A 21,919-nucleotide genomic window follows, 5' to 3' on the forward strand; every position below is an offset into this window, starting at 1 on the left:
AAATTGACTCCAAAGGGCAAGAAGAAACTTTCCAGGTGATGGGAATATTATCTTGATTGAGATGGTTGCTATGTGACTGCATACATTTGTCAAAACTGACAGGACTATACCTCTGAAATGCATAGATTTTTCTGTATAGAAATTATACCTCAATAAACCGGCCGCGGTGGCTCATGCCTGTAATCCCAGAACTTTGGGAGGCCAAGGTGGGCAGATCACGAGGTCAGGAGATCAAGACCATCCTGGCCAACATGGTGAAACCGCATTTCTAGTAAAATACAAAAAATTAGCCGGGCGTGGTGGTACGCGCCTGTAGTCCCAGCTACTCGGGAGGCTGAGGCAGGAGAATAGCGTGAACTCGGGAGGCGGAGCTTGCAGTGAGCCGAGATCACGCCACTGCACTCCAGCGTGGGTGACAGAGCAAGACTCTGTCTCAAAAAAAAATCTGAATTTGTCAATAAAAAATCAACCCCCCTCACCCATATACACACAAAACAAAAATTAGAAGGCTAAAGACAGAGAAAAATTTTTGCAAGATATATAACATTCATATTCTCTAGCTTTTTTTTTTTTTTTTGAGACGGAGTCTCGCTCTGTCGCCCAGGCTGGAGTGCAGTGGCGTGATCTCAGCTCACTGCAACCTCTGCCTCCTGGGTTCAAGTGATTCTCCTGCCTCAGCCTCCCGAGTAGCTGGGATTACAGGCACATGCTACCATGCCCGGTACATATTCTCTGGCTCTTTGAAACCAAAGTAACCATCTCAATAAGAAACATAAGCAAAAGATATGAACAGATAATTTATAATAGAATAATTTGAAATGATCAATAAACAGATACAAGATCAACTTCTCAGCCAAAAAATTATAATTAAGATAAAATATCAGTTTGCTAAAGCTTTTTTAGAAAAAAACAATACCCAGAATTGATGAGGACAGAGGGAAATAAATATTTCTATATACTCTTGTAAGATGATAAATTGAGGGCTGGTTGTGGAGGTTCATGCCTACAATCCCAGCACTTTTCAAGGCTGAGGTGGGAGGATCGCTTGAGCTCAGGAGTTCAACACCAGCCTGGGCAACATAGCGAGATCCCATCTCTATAAAAATAAAAAAATTAGCCAGGCAAGGTGGTGCATGCCTCTAGTCCCAGTTGAGGTGGGAGGATCTCTTGTGCCCAGGAGTTCAGGCTGCAGTGAGCTATGATCATGCCACTGAACTTCATCCTGGGTGACAGAGCCAAACCCTGTCTCAAAAAAATAAAGATGATAAATTGGTTCAACATTTCCAGGGGATAGTTTAGCAATATCAAGAATATTTTAAAGTATGCAGCATTTTACCCATTTACATTATCCTTAAAAGATAATGAAAAGGGGGAACTGCAAATATTTATGTACAAAAATGTTGTGGCAGTTTTTTAAAAATAATAGCGAAAGAATAAATACTGTATCCAAAAAAATTATAGATTATATTCTACATTATATAAAACAAAATCAAGTTATCAGAGTAGAAATAAGAATATGAGAAAATACTCACATACATAAAGGGAAAAAGCAGAAAATAAGATTGTCTATACAACGTAATATCAGTTTTTTAACTACATCTACGTAACACACAGGACATAGACCAAAATGCTGATTCGTTATAGCTAGGTGATTCTATCTATATTTTTCATAAGTTCTATAATAAACATATTAAAATTACAGCAGCTTTTTGAAAGTTATTTTTTAACACATTGTCCCCACAAAGTAAATTATACGTGGTAAAGTATCTTTCTAAGTCAGCTTTTGGTATATTTAAAAATTGAATCTGGTATCTGATAAATTGCACTTTCAAAACATCTAAATTGGTAGATACAAACCTTATGATAAAAATCCAGTTTTCTTTGGAGTTGTAACAAAAAGTAGCAGTTTTAAAAAGCAATAATTGAGATGATAACCTACTGCATTACGTGAAGTTGTTTTTATTTTTTGTTTTTGTTCTGAGATGGAGTCTCGCTCTGTCGCCCAGGCTGGAGTGCAGTGGCACGATCTCTGCTCACTGCAACCTCCACCTCCTGGGTCCAAGGGATTCTCCTGCCTCAGTCTCCTGAGTAGCTGGGATTACAGGCATGTGCCACCATGCCTGGCTAATTTTTGTATTTTTAGTAGAGACAGGGTTTCACCATGTTGGTCAGGCTGGTCTCGAACTCCTGACCTCGTGATCCACTAGCCTCGGCCTCCCAAAGTCCTGAGATTATAGGGATGAGCCACCACGCCCACCTACTTGAAGTTTTATAGTAAAATAAGTGTTTCTCAAACTGTATGTTGCAGTTACCTGGAGGCGATTCAGAATTAGGATGTCTGTGGAATCACACTAGGAAAAACAGCATTTAAATCCAGGAATTTTAAGCAAATTGAGGGCAAGAATCATTTTTTTTTTAATTATTTTTTCAGCTCTAGAAGCTGGCCCAGAACTGAGCATACAGTAGGAAGTCCACAAATGTTTCATTTTAAAAGTTAAAATCAAACAGCAACATCCAGTAAATCTAGGCTTAAAAAATGATTTTTTTATTTCAAACTAAATCTGCCATTTCCAAAAATACAGACTATTGTTTTTTAGAAATGCTAAATTGTTTACTTGAAATCCTAAGTCCATGATGAAGTTTGGAGGTCTAACACTGCTTTCATCACAGGGACCAACAATTAAAGGGAAGATTCTCTTTGGCTGATAGAACCAAGTTTATACAGTTTATGCATCCTCTATTTTCCTCCTGCTTCTCTCCACATGGCCAGATTTATTTTGGAATGGTAGTGGGGTCTCAGTCAATGAGGTATATTAATAATGGAACAAAACTTTAAAAAAGTTCTAAGAAAATATTTAACATTATTTACTCCAACAGTCTCTCCCCACCATATACACACACAATTAGGACTTGATATTCTCACTTTAAGAATCTGTAATGTAGATGAAGGCAGGAATCTTAATCGTTTGGCTCACCACACTATTATGCCAGAACCCCAAAATATTAGCTCAACAAATAGATTAACCATACAAAATTTTTAGTTTGAAGGAAAAAGAAACAAAGAAATAAGAACTATTTGCCACATTATCATCAATTAGTAGTTAATAAGCATCTCCTACTAAAGACCATAAACTAAGCAGTTCTGTAGTAGGCTGGATTCAAATTAAGGAAATTTAATTTTTATTTTAAACAACTGCTAGGATCATCTTTCTTAGGAGGTCCTTTACAAACATTCTGAACCAGAATAATTTATATTTATTTATTTTTACTCAAATGAGTATAGAAGCAAATACTTTCCCAGTTTGGGACTGATGATGTTTCAAAAATTAATAAAAATTAAAATGAAAGTACATGGCATTTGTTAAAGGGTAATAAAATAACTCCAGTCAATTGGCTAGTTCTACACCAGTAGATTTCTTTAAATGGTAATGAAATCATTGCTTTAAAAAAAATCCATCATTATTAAAATAAAAAAAAAAGTTGCTTCAGCCTCCACCAAAATTAGATTTGTAAGTTGCTGGTCATTCCTATAATTAAATCTGTGTCACAAATTTGCAAGAAAAATGATCACTGTGACTAATGCATTTACTTGCTACACAAGTCCTGCCAGACAGCATAGAACATTATGCTGCTAAAATGGAATAGGTACAGATCCTATACATTTTTATTAAGTAACAAAGACCATTTTTTATTTACAATGATTGTACTTCAGATAAGAGTTTGTTTTAAAAACAAACCCACATAGAGCTATCAGTGGGTCTTCTTGATTGGAGCATTATACCATATTTTTAACTCTGCAAATATGTTTGTCACTTTGGCACACACATCACTGTTTTTCTAGAGAGGTGTCATGTAAAAAATGATCTAGTGAAAGAAACACAAACATGTTCAGGTTGCCAGAGTCCCTGATTCTAGGGGTTTCTTCATTTGACTTCTCCAAATAATTTTAATTCACTTCTTTGATGGCGTGATTGAGAAGCGACCTCAGAGAACAGTGTTTCCCAAAGTATAAATGAAAACAAGATGACTCAAAGGACATGTGCACAGAGAATTAGTAATGCAACTTACTGTCTTTTCAACTCTCTTTCAATCCTTTGGATTGCAGAAGGAGAAAGTGCTTTGTTTGGTGCTGGTGCTAATTTCACCTTTTATTAAAAGAAGGGCAGGCATCAGATTCAGAGCCTTGAATACGCAGCAGAGGTTAGCTACAAATTAATAGTAGCTTTTTTTTCCATTGACTTAATTTCAGTTACCTTCTATTCACGACAAGATAGTTCTTTATTTATAGTGTTGATGTAAAGTTTTGGCTTGAAATAAATTTAAATTGAAAATGTGAGTCTTATTTAACAAACAGTATGCTGACATGGCAAAAGCTATAATGATGTCTGAATGCTGGAAAGCACTGCATTGAAGACAGTCCTCCTTCCTGTCTTCTCTCTTTCTTAAATATTTTATTATTTCTTCCCCACATTTATGCTTTGTGTATTTGCTTCAGTATCTCAAAAAATGCCTTGAATCTAATGGACTCTGAGTATATGTGTGTTGATTTTCTATCCTATTTTCCTATGTTGTGCTACCTGCTAATTGAACCAATGGTATTTTTAAAACAGAAGTAGTCTGTTCTCAGCAATCCAGCTTTTATGATGTTCACTTGCTCAAACAGGTGATGATCAAATGAAATGCATAGCACGATGATGGGTTGCATTGTGCAAAGGTGGAAACCAACTTCCATTCATCTGAACACAGTTATTAATTTTAATACCCAGGATGGGCCATTTAAAATCTTGGTTTTATCCAGTTCTTCCCACTAAAAGATGAACTTGAAACAGCATCTATAAGATGGTACTGAAACTGCTTAAATATTAAGTCATTTGTTTGTTCTGGCATTTAAGTTTAATGAAAATAAAAACTTTTTTATAAACAAGCCATGAACTTTTGAGGTAAAACTAAGATCCCAAGTGAATAATTTGGGTTGATTAAGATTTTAAGAAAATTAAGCACATGCACACACACACAAATTCAGCATAGTCTTCAATACTGTACAAAATAAGAGACCCCATAAACCATAAACTAAATACATCCTAGACTTAGGTGAAAGCAAACCAAATTAACAATTGAATCTTATCTAGTACCACCTTTAAGCCTCTTTGTTTAACATTTGAGATTCTTGATCTAGTTTTTAAAAAGCATTGTCCCACAGCAATCAATGAGTAACAAAGATAATGGTGTTTCCTCTTTAACCATTCTAAATATTTCAGAAATTCTTACATTTATGTTACCAGGAATTTCTCTAATGTTTTATAGCATAGTTGGAAACTCAGTTTGGCATGATCATCTTTGTCATTCACTAGGGTTTCCTTTTAAGATCAGGAGTCACCAAAAACAATAAAACAGGCACGTATCATTGTACAGGAAAGGAAAAATTACAAGAAGGTGATAAACATGTCACAAGTTATTATTATTAAAACATGGCACTTGTGTTTGGGATTTCTTTTCTTTCAGCAGCTATAATAACAATCAGTTAACTATTCAAATTTTTCTACAAAGCAGGGTAGTAACCGAGAACCAGCCAAAGCAGAGAGAAGACAGAACAATTGGGTAAGGGAAGAAAAATATAAACTGGCTAGTTTTTCAGCCCAAGGCAAGGAGTTCCTTTTAATCTTTGATCTGGCATGAAAAGAAAATTGTTAATCTTAGAATAGCTTCTGCTAGTTCCAGCAATGAGTATTTTAAAAGAGAAAAATTATGTGAAAGAAACTCATTTCTTGACACTTTAAATGAAGAGATTTAGAAAGTAATCAGTGACTCGTACAGATCTTTTTTAGACTAGATGTTTTGAATTTACAAGGATGATTTAACTTTCTGACTCTTTGATGCTGTTTCTGAAATTCTTATTAGTACATCTATGTTGCCATGAAGTGTTCTAATGTTTATAACATCATTATTAAAAACCCAGTTTGGCATGATCAGCTTGTCACTCATTAGCATTTCCCTTTAAGACTAGGAGTTACCAAAAATAATAAAATAGGCTGAGGAGTCTAAAAATAGCAAAGTTCTAAATGTTCCTTTTAAACTTTAACCTGTAATTCTTAGAGACATGGAAACACTGAATTCAGCCTCCAAATCAAAAATGCTAAGTTCTAACAAATCAAATGATCTAAATTTAGTTTGGCGAATTTGTTTTCAACACAATTGAATCTTTTGAAATTAAAGAAAAAAAATTTCAATTAGAATTTTCCCAAAAGATGTCAGTATCTATTTTTTAAAAACTGAAACCTTTTGATGAGGAGCAACATGTGAGTTGCCTGAATTTGAAGTCGAAATATATACACGTATATACATAAATTTTAATAGCATTTTAGTTATTCAGGGTGCTCGACTATCAAATTTTATTAAAATCTCATTAAGAGAGAAATCTCAAATCACTTACTATGCTCCACAATTATTATAAACTGAACAATTTAAATGAGAGGAGGAGATAATGACATTAACTGCTTAACTTAAAGCAATCCTCCATGGCATGATTTTAAAATATTTTCTTGGTCTCAAATTTATGTAAATTGAATTCACCTATCATTAGTTATTACCAGCCTAGATACATTAAAAACAATAACATCAACAACAACAAAAACAGCGTTCTATAATAATTAGTTCCTAAAAACACTGTTTAAATTAGACCTGGGACATTATTAAAGTAGCTATAAATATGTACAGTATTTTATTTATACCCAGATGCCTGAAAATCAACAAAAATGCTCTCAGAGTTCTTTCTTCAAAAATTCTTTTAATAAAAGCCTTTCATTCAAAGTTTTAAGGTAATCTGAAATAAATACCCTTTTCAGATTGTATTATATTTATACCACAGGAATGGTCACTCATAATCAGAGAATAATCATTGGATCAGGGTATTTTAGATCTTGCCAAGCTTAGTCAGAGATAACCAATTTCCTTATTTCATGGATATCCATAGTCACACCCACAAACATTCATGACAAAGCTTCAATAAAAACCTAGATCTAAAGTTTAGCTCAAAGTTATTTCTTATCACATCATATACACATTTTATATAGATTATCCCACAAGTCTACAGTTTAGGCGCTATCATTACCTCATTTTATATACAGGGAAGCTTATATAATTAGGCTAGTAGTCAGTCAAGTAAGAATTCAAACCCAGTCTAGCTCCAGAAACCATACTACTACCCATAATCCTAAATTTTAAGAACAGGTGGATATTTTCCATTTATAGAGAAAATTCACAAATAGCTGTAACAAGTACCATCCTTTAAGAATAATAAAATAAAAATATAAAGTTTACAATTTGGAATTTCACTCCTCTAAAATAAATCTTCTTCCTAATCCCAACTCAAGCACCAATTTCTCCCTGAAGCCTTCTCATGTCATTTAACTGAGATGAATCTCTTTCTTCAAACCTTTAATAATTGTTGTATATTGCTCATATGTAGAATGTACTAGATGTCTCGATATCTATTTTCCTCTTCTTTCTTAGTAACAGAAATCTAATTTTTAGCTCGCAGTAAATTGCCATATTTCCCAACTTCAGTGGCTAGGAGTGATCATGTGACTGAGTTCTGCAATAAGGAGTGCTGGTATTGTGTTAGAATTCCAGGAATGCTGTTCAAAGAAAGAAGACTCAGGTTTTAGGGAGGTCTTTTTTCTTTTCTTTTCTTTTTTTTTTTGAGACAGAGTCTCGCTCTTTCACCCAGGCTGGAGTAGGGAGCTCTTTTTTCTATTCCCACTACTTTACCTTGCTATCCAGACGTTCTGGCTGGGGCTCCAGCAACTATCTTGGACCATGAGGCAGCCTTGAGGAAGAAAACTGCATGCTGCAGATGGTGGAGGAGAGAGATAGGAGTCTTGGCCCATGATGAGACCATGAAGCCACTATACCATACTTGGACAGCTCCCTCCAAATGTTATATAATAGAGAAATAAATCTTAATCTTGTATAAATCACTATCAATTTTTTTCTCTTAAGCCAAACCTAATTCTAACTGATACAGTTTACACATGTTTCATAATCCTAGGTTGTTGTAACTATGGTGAAGAGAGGAAAAAAAGATATAGAATTATTTCTCTTATAACACTGGAGCAAAACATACCTAATCATAATTTTCACTCTCAAACTCTCTCTGGTAATTTTCAACTTTATGTAAGAAAAAGCAAGGAAAGGAAGGGGAATAAAAAAAGTAAAACAACGCTTCTGCCTGTCTGCCATTGCTCATGCCATTTCCTCTCCTCTCTCCTTTACCAGTTAAGTCCTACCCATACCTCAAGGCCCAGCTCAGAGCAATCACTTCTGTCAGACCTTTGAATTTAGAGTGCATATTGTCTGTGCCATTTATTTGACAATCATATATCTCTAGTAACATCTTTCATACGGCTTGTTAACTTTTACATTGCATTTCTTTTTCTACATGTCATCTCCACAACCTAGTGGGACCCACCTTGTATTTCTCTGCATTCTTCACTGACACTAGAAAACTACCTCTGTGTAGCAGGAAATCAATAAATACTTTTGATCAATTAACTGAATTAGGGTAAGAAAAAAAAAGTGAAGAAAAGAAAAAGAGGAAGACTAAGAAGTGAGAATACACAGCTTCTTAGGAGTGAAAGAGCACAATACAAATCCCAAAGAACCACAAGAACAAGTTGTACTTCACTAGACCTTACCAAACAAGTGGGACTGGTAGAAAAAATATGATACATTCATATAGTCAGTGCATGTCTCAAACTATATTTAATAAGCTTGTTCTCTAACAAAGGAATCGTATATTTTGTTTTAGTCACTCAGACAATTGTGTCAATTTTATTTTCTCAAAGTCTAGACATCCGAAAGAATAAGAGACCCAACTTAAGAAGATGTTTTGATAGTGGATGTGTATGGTGCCAAATCATGTACAAAAATTGGCTTCCAGAAAGTTCATGTTTTACAGATATTATTCTATTAAACAATTGTGACAACGTATAGAATAATACTTGGACTCATGAAATAATGACTTAAAATATTACTGAGTCTAAACTAAGCAATCCGAGAGATTATTTTTGTTAAACAGACTTTATTGTCTAAAACCCAGAAGTAATACAGCATCACAAAAACCATTACTGGCTCTATAAAAATAGGATATAAGCTATGCATATATTTTGCAGATGCTACATCATTATAAACTCTGTAAGGCTATGTGACACTAAAAGCTGTGTAGCACTATGTAGAATTAACACTATGTAACAACATGTTTAAAAGCTTTAACTACATTTAAATACATACAATAATAATTAACAGAGCATTTTAAACAGAGGTAATTGATATTTTACCTAGACTCATGAACTAGTTTATACATCACTGATTTTACTCTCAATTATTTGTAAATCACTGCACTACATATCTGCTAATGAGTTATGCCCCAAAAAATACAATATGATAATTAACTTCAGGAATTTAACAAAGTTTTAAGGCACAAAAAAATTAAATCAACAGAAAATTTAGTTTCTCAATCTTTCATAACACAAATCAAGCCTCTGTTACATCATTTATTTAAAAATAATGATTAAAAATGCTAAAACAACGTCCTTATATTGGTTCTACTTATGAAAGCTGAACTACTTTTGAATCTTTATATATATATATATATAGATACAACATTTACTTGCAAATTACTCATTAGTCATATCTTCCTTTCAAATTTTTTTTCACATAGATTTCTCAGAAGCATCCAAGCCAGTAGCTTCTTTGACAGTGAAATGTACAAAATAAATGGCATGTCAACAAGTAAATTAGCATTCCCTTTCTGACCAGCTGGGTCATGTTTCCTTTTCAAAATCCTCAGTCCCATGATACAAAATAATAATAATCTAAAAGACCTCATTAAATGATCAATATATTGACATAACCTCTATAAGGAGACACATAGTGTTTTAATTGATTCCTTGAATTCATTAAATGGAATTTTAAAACCCAAACCTCCAAAATATATTGTAAGAGAACATTTGCTTTATTCATTAACTACTTTTCTTCAGGGTATGGATACTGGCACATGAAAAGATTCAACAATTTTTATACTTAACCAAAGAGTAAAACAAATCCAGCTTTCACTAAATCTTTCATATACACAATATCACAGCAAAAGTTGTAATAGACAAGTTAAACTATGTTTACTTACCAAAAAACTTCCAAAGGCTGAATTAAATATTGCAGCTGCCTATGAAGAAAATAAATAGGGGAAAAAAACTCATTGAAAGTAAATAAGAATAATAAAGCCAAAGATTATCATTCTCCCCTCCCCCACTATTCAAAACCTTAAAACATTGACTCTATAAAGCAAAGTTAGTCACTGCTTACAAAAATTGCCAGTGGCCTGTAGTTTACTAAGACAGATGAGCTACAGCTTAGGAATTCATAAATAATGGGTCTCAAAAGCAGGCAGAAAACGCTTGTCATGCCTTGAACCTATATGACAGTACCAAAAGAATCATTGCCAATACTAAATTGAGACCATGTTGCTATTGATTTTCCTACTAAATTTAAAACAATCAGAGATTGATTTATTTGTTTAAAAATGTATATTATTGGAAGAAGGAAAAACAGAATTGTAAGACAAACATTAATTGCTGTCAGTGGCACAAGTCTTATGAGCTACAATCACAAGGTAAGATCTGTTTCTATACAACACACATTAGAAATATGAACAATGCTGTTAAGACCAGGAAAGTTATTGCTGTACCATTAATTCTAAGGTAAAGAAAAGCAAGAAAAGCTCCAATTTGGTGTTCAAAATTCAAAGAAAAAATATTTGACTCTCTGCTTACCTAAATATCCATGGAATACATAGCAGACGTAATATAGCTCTTAATTTTAATTGAATCACTATATTCAATGAAGCTATACCAGAGTCCTGCAAGCTTCTCACATTACCCAAAAAGGAAAAAACTTGTATAACATCCAATTTGATAAAAAGAAAACAAGAAAGAAAAAATAATAAAAGGGGTAGAGAGAACCTATTTACATCTCCTGCATACCCAGAGCAGAATTAAATTAATCATTGTGGACATTAGCAGCCACACTGTAGTAAAAAGAGGATGTCAGTTTAGTAAGTTTGAATAAAGTCCAAAGCCAGGCTAAGAGCTGTAGCTGAAAATGCCTTCTGCTCCAGAAGAGGATGCAATGAGAGTGAATGGGTAATGAGATCCTCGGCTCCAGAGAGCTTAGCTCTCCTATTCCAGTTCATAATTAATTCAAAGCTTTGATAATTTCATTAGATTTCTCCTTTGCTGGCCCTATCAATAAAAGATGGCACCGGACCACAGCTCCTCTGTGGCATAAACATAGGCACAGGCACAGACCAGGGAAACCTTTGCTTCCTGACAGGGACAATGGCATATGGTGTTCTGGGTTGTATGGGGAGCAGTGAAAAAAAGAAAATCAGCTAAATAAAACATTACAGATGACAATTGTAAACTATAGCAATATATTTAACACATCTTCCTGGAATTCCATTATGGATGATTCCAGGAAAAAGTTTTATGTATGGGGAAAAATAAGTAAAAGGTTATAAATAAATTAGTTGTGGTGACACCAACAGGGAACACTGGTCCTCCTTCCTACAAAAAATGTACCTTTCCCACAAGCAATTTTTATATTTAGATCCTATTTTGTGCTTAAAACAGAATTACTTCCTTTTAGTAAAGGAAGGAGGTCTTCCCCTTTGAGCCTGTCTCTTCTGAATTCATTTCTTTCAAGTCCCTTTCACTAACATTTTACTCAATAACTAGCGGTCTTGTCTAGCATTTGAGGAAACATAGAATCATTCGAGGAAAAGAGACTCAGAAGTCAAAGTAAAATAACTATATATGACAAATAATATCATACTCATAAACAACTCATAAATACTCATAAATAACTATATGAGTATATAACAACTACTACTCATAAGATCAAATCACCATATTCCTACTCCCTCTTGTTCTCTTCTTTAACCCAAACGCAAGAAATACATTTTATATGAATTGGCCTATATTCCTGCCTCTTATAAAATGACAGTGACGGGTATATTAGGTACCCAAAGACGATGCTGCAGGCCAACTCATTCTTAGTTGTTTGCCAACAGTGGTGATGGATTTGAACTCACTCAGTCAGCTATACTGTCCTCCTGTGCAGTGAGCTCCGTCAATCTTTTGTGAAATGATTGATTAAAGGTTCTGGGTACCCTGAAGACCACGTGAAATCAGACACTGAAACCAAGGATCTTGGGCTCAACAGCAACCGATAATTAAGGTAATAGTTGGCTCAATTCTGTGGTTGCAGTCTATGAAAGAACCATGATTTCCAGAGTTTCAACAAGTAATAATAAATATTTAGAGTATTTTATTGATATATAAAAGACATGCATGTATCTTGACTTAGGGAGGAATTCCCAGCTCCTTGGCATGACGTCCAGGGCCTTCCATGAACATGTTTCTATCCATCTCATTCCCTGCCTCGAATTTTACATTCTGACAACAATGAACTACTTGCAATTCCCCAAACTCATCATGCCATTTCTTATCTCCTTGCTCCCTGGCCTGAAATACCCTTCCCCCTCTTCTACTTTGGTAATTCTATTTAATTTTAATAACACAGCTTGGTCATCATCCTTCTGAGATGGGAGAGTTCCCTTGATCCCTTATGGGACTCGCGAAGGGGTTGGCTCATTTACTTGGCCGCCGTGCTCCATGCCTTACAGGAGCGAGCACACAAGCAAACGGGTGTGGGAACGCGCACAAAGGAACACTGGAACTGGCCGGTCGCACCTCTCTGGCGGGAGCAGGGTTTGTGCAGACCCGCGGCAGTGTCCAAGTGTGTTACAATGCTCCGTTAGCTCTGCCATCCAGGAGGGGGTGTCTGTGACCCTCGAAGCCCAAGAAGACGTGTGTTACAATCACTGCTCTTTTAGCATTTGCCGTCCGTGGATGGCTAGGTGTTAACTAGCTCAGCGGAGGGTCAGGGTGACAGCCTTTTACACTCTGCCCTCTTGGTACCCGAGTTCTTGTCAGGCGTCCAGGAAAAATCAGGTCACACAAACAAATCAAAGGGTAGTTAATGTGGAGGACTTTGTTGAGCGGTGGAAGTGGCTTTCAGAGGGAAAGGGAGCTGGAAACGGGGTGGAATGGGACGAAAATCTTCCGCGGGAGTCTGGCCATCCCTAATCGAACTCCTCTCTGACCATAGTCTCTGACGTCCAGCCTCTTCTCCTCTGGTTGTTCAAACGCTTCTCTCTTCTCTCTTCTCTCTTCTGTGTGTGTGTGTGTGTGTGTGTGCACGTGCGCACGCGCGTGCACGGGAGTCCCCTGAGTCTGGGGTTTGCAGTTCTCATGGGCACAGGATAGGGGGTGGGGCAGTCCAAAAGGTAAAATTTCAGGTGGGAAAACAAGAATAGTTCTCACTTTGGGCCGTGGGTCCAGGCTTGAGGGTGGAGCTCTCGCCAGGAACCCCACCCTCTTCTACCCAGTATTTCTCTGCCTCCTGGCCCTATCACTTCCAAGAAGTTTTCAATGACCTTCCCCCAACACACGCACACACACCTTAGCATACACACATATCTACACTTACAGATGGACTGAGTATCTCCACACCTGCTGGCAGAACATCCTGAGCCTATCTCTGCCATGGGACTTGTCCTACTGTATTGAAATGACTGGCTGGGCATGGTGACTCACACCTGTAATCCCAGCACTTTGGGAGGCCGAGGTGGGCAGATCACTTGAGGTCAGGAGTTTGAAACCAGCCTGGCCAACATGGTGAAACCTGTCTCTCCTAAAAATACAAAAATTAGCCAGGCATGGTGGCAGATGCCTGTAATCCCAGTGACTTGGGAGGCTGAGGCAGGAGAATTGCTTGAACCTAGGAGGTGGAGGTTGCAGTGAGTCGAGATTGTACCACTGCATTCCAGCCCGGGTGACGGAGCAAGACCCTGTCTCAAAAAAAAAAAAAAAAATGAAAATAAATGACCTACTTACATGCCTCTCTCCGCTGGTCATCTAAGATAGGAATCTAATGAAACTCACCCTAAGCACCCACTTGTTTGTTACTCCTACTCACACCCTGACTCTGAAGTGGCCAGAAGTAGAAAGGGTGAGAAGGTTTATCTATCTATCTATCTATCTATCTATCTATCTATCTATCTATCTATCTATCTATTTATCTATCTATAGTGAAACAAATCAGGCCCTTGAATCCACTGGTACTCTTTTAAAATTTTTATCACGTGTATATATTCATTAATTAAAAAGTATGAATTGCTGACACAAGTACGATTCCCTGAAATGTCCAAAGTCTTCATCTCCTACTGAGTTATTTTATGTGTTTGGCAGAATCCAAGGCACAGAAGACTGGATCTGACATCTGGTACCATAACCAACCTATGACAGTAACAGGAGATCTAGACTTCAGACTCCCATCCACCCCATTCAATACAAGAATTTCCTTCACATCGTTTTCAAAACAGTATCTTGCTTTACTTCTCTTAAAATGCCTGAACCTTCCTATTATAATATAGTTATATAAAATATGTTTAATATAAATAATGTTTTCCGAGATCAGATGAGATTGGGCAAGTTCAGAGCAGTATGACTGTAAACCATAAATGACCAAAAATTAGCCACCATGCCTAGCTAGAATTTTTTAATTTTTTTGTAGAGACAGGGTTTCCCTATGTTGCCCAGGCTGGTCTTGAACTCCTGGACTCAAGCGATCCTCCCATCTCAGCCTCCTAAATTGCTGAGATTACAGGTGTGAGTCACCATACCCAGCTTGATTTTAAAATATAGCAGTTCTTTTGTTATTATCTCCTTTGTTAGAAAATATTTCAAAACCCATTCCTCCTCTAGAATGCTCCATTACAACAAGAATTTGTCTAATTCATTGAAAGAAACGAGTGAATGAACAAATACCTCTTGTGCTAACTGAATGTCCTACACAGTAATGTTTTTATTATTAACTCATAAAATCCCATTAGCAAAATGTATACCTTGGAGTAATCACATTTGGTGAATAATTAGATCAATCCTAGCTAAAAAAAAAAAAGTTCATATTGAGATTTTTTTTAATATTGACTAGATTGACTTCCTTTATATTACACATTTGTAGATAATATATTGCTTTTGGTATCAACCCAATTTTACCCAATATAAGATATTTTACTAATGTTCCATTATATATTATACAGCATGTCTTTATTAAATTATTTTGGAAAACTGAGCAAGTTCAATAATGAATTAATTTCATCATAAACTACTTGGAATTATTTAAAACAAAGGTAAATTTCTTAAAAAAAAAAAAACCTAATCATTCTCAGCAAACTATCGCAAGGACAAAAAACCAAACACCGCATGTTCTCACTCATAGGTGGGAATTGAACAATGAGAACACATGGACACAGGAAGGGGAACATCACACATCAGGGACTGTTGTGGGGTGGGGGGAGCGGTGAGGGATAGCATTATGAGTTATACCTAATGCTAAATGACGAGTTAATGGGTGCAGCACACTAACATGGCACATGTATACATATGTAACAAACCTGCACATTGTGCACATGTACCCTAAAACTTAAAGTATAATAATAATAAAATTAAAAAATAAAAAAAATTTTAAAAAAAACTTAAAAAAATGGGGAAAAACAATTCTCTGATAAAAGCAAGCTCTTTCATTGCTGAAAGGCTCTAAACGTTATGTTCTACCTTAAGCCTACCATAAGCCTGAAATCTATAACTTCTCATAACTGCCATGCACTGGACCATGTTCTGTGCTCTGGAGTTACATAAATATGTCTCATCCCTTTTATAAATGCATTTCAAATATATGTACACTGCTGACTCCTACCCAAGTCTTCTCTTATGACATTATATCAAAAATTTTCATAATGCTGGTCCAACACCCCTCTTTTTCCTTCCCTTATGAGGTTACTAAATAAAAAAAAGGTAAAATCCATTATTTACATTGAGTATGAATAATTTATGGCAAGTTAATGTATTAAACTTCTAGCTTGTGCTTTTGAGTACCTGATTCTTAGTCAAAATACATAGAAATGTTTACCAAAATGTAAAAACGGGATATTTATGGTTATCTCAGAATTTCTAATGATGTTTCAAGCCTAGGAGAATACCCTTAGGAGAATACCAAACTTGGGAGAAGAATCCTGCATTCAAAAGTAAGATGCCAGACACATACCTTGGTATTTATAAAAAAGACACCAAAAGTGGGTCAGGGACCACTTCACATGCAGGCTGTATAGGTGAAGACCAGAAATTCCAGAGGAGATTGATAAAATGAAATTGTTTTCCTCCTTCTCTACAGGAGAAAGCTGCTCTGTTCACCACACCTCTCAAGTTGGGGTAGAGGGTGATATCTACAAATGAAGAAACTGTGCTAGAACAAACAGCAAAGAAATTAGAATAGCATCTCTGTTCCATGCTGGATGTTTAGTGAGAGGACAAATTCCACACTGGGCCACCACAGGAGCATCGGATACACCCTGTAAGAGTTCTTAGGAACATTCTCACCCAGTGCATTTCCCACTGGGTGACAGGGATAGGGAGGGTATATAAGTGAACCAGAAATAAATACTTGCTTCCTGACTAGAAACAGCAAAGGTGAGGGGCTGCCTAGAACAGACCACAATGGTAGGGCAAGGAGAGACAGTAAGCAGTTGGACAAAGTATATCTAAATTCTGTGATGAGGCATGGGTCTGCCAATTCCAAATGAGCCAAGAAGATGCCACTGAACTTAATTCAGTTTGAGAGACCACACCCAAGAAGAGACTCCACCAACAAGAGGCTGAAGGAACAAGAGGAGCAGGGGTTGGAAGTGTATTCTGAACAACCCTCTCCCCTAACCTGTCCAGCAAAAAGAGATAGCGTGTAGACCCCTGCTATGACAGAGGGCATTGAGGGCCACAGTGTGACAGTATCGATAAGCTAAGACCCCATCCTGTTCTCTCTCATTCATTTCTCCTCTGAAGTGGTTGGAAGTAGAAAAGGTGAGAAGCTTTAAAAAAATAAAAACACAAACCACCACCACCACCACCACCACAACAACAACAACAAAAACAGTGAAACAGACCATGCCCTCTTCTCCATGGGCCCTATTTTTAAATTCTTATCATGTTTATATATTCATTAATTAAAAGTATAACTTCCTATGTTTTAAAAACGTAGGTTTGGCCTCACTTGGGAAAGAAGGGAATTTAAAGTTTCAAACTAGAATGCCCTGGGTTATTTAATAGCTAGAAATTAATCCTAATTACCAAAGATATGACTATTTTTGTAATCAAAAGTGACCAGAAAACCATGAGATTGACAGAGATGTCATCAAAGGAGGGGTGGGAATGGGGAACAGAAATATGGGAGAAGGCATTTCAGGTATATAATCCTTACATTCACACCATTCAATAAAAATATTATAATAACAACACTACCTTTTAAATATATAGCTGAGCTAAAACAAACAAACAAACAAAAAACAGGTAGTTAGCCCTCTGTATCTGTGGGTTCTGCATCTGTGGATTCAACCAACCACAGATCAAAAATACTATATTCAAAAAAGAAGAAAAAAGATGGTTGCATCTGTACTGAATGTGTACATACTTTTTTTCTTGTTGTTATTCCCTAAGCAATCCAGTGTACAACTTCTTACACAGCATTTACATCATATGTTAGGTATTCTATGTAATCTAGAGAAGACAAAGTATACAGGAAGATGTGCATTTATATATATAAATGTCATTGTATATCAGGGACTTGAACATCTGTAGATTTTGGTGTTCCTGGAGAGTCCTAGAACCAATACCCCACAGATACCATGGGACAATTGCATTAAACATATAGAAATTAGTCAAAGCCAGAGTAGTAAAGCATATGAGTTGATGCTGCACTCATGCCCATGAAGAAATGAGAAGCACAGGCTTTGGCCTGCAAAGGGTGGAGAACTGGAAATGAGACATCTGCAGAAAGCAGAGTGGAAGGCTAGAAGGACTGCCAGCACTGTGTAAAAGCAACTGGAAAACTCTACTTACAAATTTAAGAAAGTAGTATAAGGTCTGTATCAAAGGTGGGTGTAAGGACTGAATTTACACTACCTACATGACTCATGAATTTCAAACTAACAATTTATTTAAAGAAAGAAATGACAAAACAGATGAAGGGGCAGTGGAACTTCTAAGTCCTTGAAAGAAGCAAAAGTGAAACTTCTCTTTGGGGTCACTTCAATAACCCAGAACAGAGTGGATTACCAGATAACACAACCTCCACTGAAGAAATGTTAACAATAAAAAATTTTAAACAATGTGAGAAAGCTGTATGACAAGAGTATCATAAAAGCAGCGAGGAAAAGGGAAGCAACTGGATTTTTTACAATATACTAAAGAAAAAAAAAACCAGACAGATTAAAGATCTAGATGTGGAAGGCAAAACTTTAACACTTTTAGAAGAAAATATGAAACTATCTTTATGCCCTCAGAAAGAAAAGCAGTTTTTTAAGCAAGACAGAAAAAGTACATATAAAAAAGGAGAAGCTAAAATAGAAAACCCGAACAGACCAACAGCGAGTAACAAGGCTGAATCAGAAGTCTCCCACCAAAAAAAAAAAAAAAAAAACAAAAAAAAACCAGGACCAGCTGGCTTCACTGCTGAATTCTACCACACTTTTAAAGAACTATTACCAATTCTTCTCAAACTACCCAAAAAAAAACTGAAGAGGAAGGAATCCTTCCTAATTCATTCTATGAGGTCAGCATTACCCTGATACCAAACCAGACAAGGACACAACACAAAAAGAAAACTACAGGCTAATATCCCTGATGAACACAGATGCAAAAATCCTCAACAACATCCTAGCAAATGGAATCCAACAGCACATCAAAACAATAGTACACCATGATCAACTGGGATTTATCCTAGGGATGCAAGGATGGTTCAACACATGCAAATCAATACATGTGGCACACCACATCAATAGAATGAGGGACAAAAACCACATGATTACCTCAATAGATGCAGAAAATGCATTTCATAAAATTCGACATCTCTTCATGATAAAAATTCTCAACAAATTAGGTATAGAAGTTACACACCTTAGATAGAAGTTACACACCTTAAGATAAGACAAAAGAAAAGCTAGGGATTTCCATGCAGCAAAGTTCTGGCCAATGAGATAAAAAGTGATATATGCTTGATGGTGGGGGCTTAGGGAGGGAGGTTAGTTTCTGGTACTGACACTTCTTCCTGCCGAGAGCAGCAAAAGCTATCTTGCATCCATAAGAGCACTGGAGAGATAGCCACTCTAATGTCACTGAGCCGCAGAATAAACGCCAGCAGCCTCTACCTCCAGGCATCTTGGTATATGAGAAAAATAAGTCCCTCCTTGCTAAAGCCACTTTTAGTCTAATTTTCTGGTACTTGAAGCCTGACACCACCATGTTCCTAAACAAGGAAAAAATAATAAAGGACTACTCCGGCAGATCAGATAAATAAAAAACTATTTCCTCTAAAATATGAGCTTGAGTAGGCACATTAAATCTTATTTAGTATAATCTCTTGTTCCTATTGCATATGACATCATTGAAAATAAGGAAGAGAAAACTGACTATTGGCCACAATTGTTGGAGGTCAAAGCTAAATTGCCTTACCCTAGAAAAGTTCTTCAACTATGTGAATTTATATCCCATCAGGCTTTGATTCGCAGGAAGGAGAAACAGCCTTAATATTTATTTTCTCCCTAAGCATAGATTCAGTTTTAAAAACACATGAAGACTAAAACATCAAAGACTGAATTCCAATACTTGATCTTCAATTAAATATGAAAACACAAAACATTTTCATTCTATCTGTAAGGCACTTTCTAAAGTGCTATAAAAAGTCAAAAAAATAAGAAATATTTATTGCTTCTTTCAAAGCCAATTATGATTGACTTTCTCTTATGCAACTTAGTTGCTAGTTTTACTATTGACTACTTAATTACCACTATTTTCACTGAAGAGCCCTCATTACAAGAAAAATTTGAATTCTACATTTCTATGTCATATTTAAGTATTACTACAACATACCACAGAAAAGTAAACATATTCAGGATATCAATCAAAATGCGGATTTATACACTACGCTCAATATTAAGAGGGCACTTTTAATGTGATACCATTTTTATATATATCATTGTATTTTTTAAGTACCATTACTTAAATTACTGAATATTACTTAAACCATTACTGAATATTTTCTCTCAACAAAGAAAGCTAAATGAAGACTTAATACTGCTGCAAAGCATTCACCAATTTAAAGAAAGATTAATTTTAATTCTTTGTTTTAAAATATTACAGGAATTAACAGAAGTATGTATACTATATACAGATATAGATTTATAGATATATACAATGTGTGTGTGTGTATATATATATATATAAATATACAATCTTCAAGTTAAGAGTGAATGTTTGACATGAGGAGCAAGCTACATTTCTTGCCTATTTCTACAGGTTCATTTCTTGACACCAGTGGAAAAAATTATTTAATATTCTAAATCTTGAGGTGAATAGGGGGTTGCTATCCTTGTTTGTAACTATTCATCTCAATTCAGGTAAGGAAAAAAATATATTCAAGTTACTGTTTTCTGGGTGCTAAATTGAATCAGGTGTCCTCTCCTCTTAAGAAAATTAAGTTGCTTTTGTGCAAGAGTGTTTTAATGAGAACAGAGCCGGCCGACAGTGATAAATGGGAATGACACCAGAGAGAGCACATAAGCAGGACAATATGTGCATGTTACAGTCTTACAGCCTATTTTTCACTGACTATTCTGAATGACTTCTCTGTTTCTTAAGGGGCCTATTAATCTCAAATTTAGTTATTGCACAACGTTTATTTGAACATATATTCTGTGGATGATGACAGTTAATAAAGGAAATCTTTCACAAGCTGTATTTTTACATATTGTTCCAACTACAGCTCTCAGTCATTTGATGGTATTGATGGAATAACCTACATTGTGCTGAGGCTTTTTTTAAAAAGGCACATATATTCAGATTCCTTTCTAAGCACATGGGGACTCTTAAATAACCGTTAAAACGCATACAAAAAATTCTAGTACAAAACAGTAAAAGTAAAAGGACATCTTAACTGTTCAACAAAAATCATTTAATGTGCAAACTGACCCTTCTAAGACAAAACAGACACCTTTTAACACTTTTAAAGCCCTGGTACACAATATGCAATAGTTCGTGCATACCAATCTACATTTTCACAATATGCATGGGGCAAGAGAGGAAGGGCAAAATCAATTTTCCTGAGGTGCAAAAACAATGAAGTAACATAGCTGCTTTGATTTCTCTTTGGTATGCTTTTTTGATGAAATGTCATGTACTTAAAATAGTGATGATTCTGTATTTCTTATTTCTAGTAGAATACTTTTTAAGAGCTTAAAAGAATTGTTTCAACATTTTCCTAAAAACATAATTATCAGTTCAAATAAGCTCATCAATTCAGATTGTTGTTCTAGTTCTGGGAAGAAATTTGTTACTTTAAGGGTTACAGGTTCACAATAACAATACCTAATATTAGCAAGAAATATTTAATTCAAGATTTTAAAATCTGCCTTATAATTGAGGTGAAATTAAACTTAATCAAACATTTTGATTGCATCCTCCTGAAATCTCAGTCTTCAAAGGTGTTCAATTTCTATAAAATCAGAATTTTTAAGTGGGAGAGGCCATTAAATACTATGACAATCCCTTTGTTAATCAAGAAACAGAACTCCAGACAGGCAAAGGATCTTTTCCAAGGTCATACTGGACAGCAGTAAAGCCAGAATAGAATTCATCTCCAGACATCTCTTGCACCCTCTCTATTACATCCACACTGTCTGTTTTATATATTATTT

General features: G+C 35.7%; 1 protein-coding gene across 14 annotated transcripts in view, besides 1 other annotated feature; it reads right to left on the reverse strand.

The window, feature by feature from the left end:
• The window catches only part of SLC10A7 (solute carrier family 10 member 7), a 267,960-nt gene that overhangs the window by 178,622 nt on the left and 67,419 nt on the right, over window positions 1–21,919 (reverse strand). For 8 of the 14 annotated variants that reach the window (NR_133924.2, XR_001741332.3, XR_938780.4 and 5 more), the window contains one exon: window positions 10,181–10,219. The exons of 4 other annotated variants lie outside the window; for them this stretch is intronic. Coding sequence is in view for 5 of the 10 variants with exons in the window: in NM_001029998.6 (NP_001025169.1) it covers window positions 10,181–10,219 (39 nt within the window). In the remaining 5 variants the exon portion in view is untranslated. Of the gene's footprint in view, window positions 1–9,062; window positions 10,220–21,919 lie in introns of those variants that run through there. 2 more of the 14 variants (NM_001317817.2, NM_032128.5) reach the window with 1 other exon arrangement.
• Window positions 18,226–18,275: an enhancer, noted in NCBI's record as "active region_21992". NCBI's record gives its function as "activates an Ori minimal core promoter by ATAC-STARR-seq in GM12878 lymphoblastoid cells {active_cell/tissue: GM12878}" and the evidence as "EXISTENCE:reporter gene assay evidence [ECO:0000049][PMID:35858748]".

The sequence above is a fragment of the Homo sapiens genome, chromosome 4 (genome assembly GCF_000001405.40).
Source record: "Homo sapiens chromosome 4, GRCh38.p14 Primary Assembly".
Taxonomy (NCBI): Eukaryota; Metazoa; Chordata; class Mammalia; order Primates; family Hominidae; genus Homo; species Homo sapiens.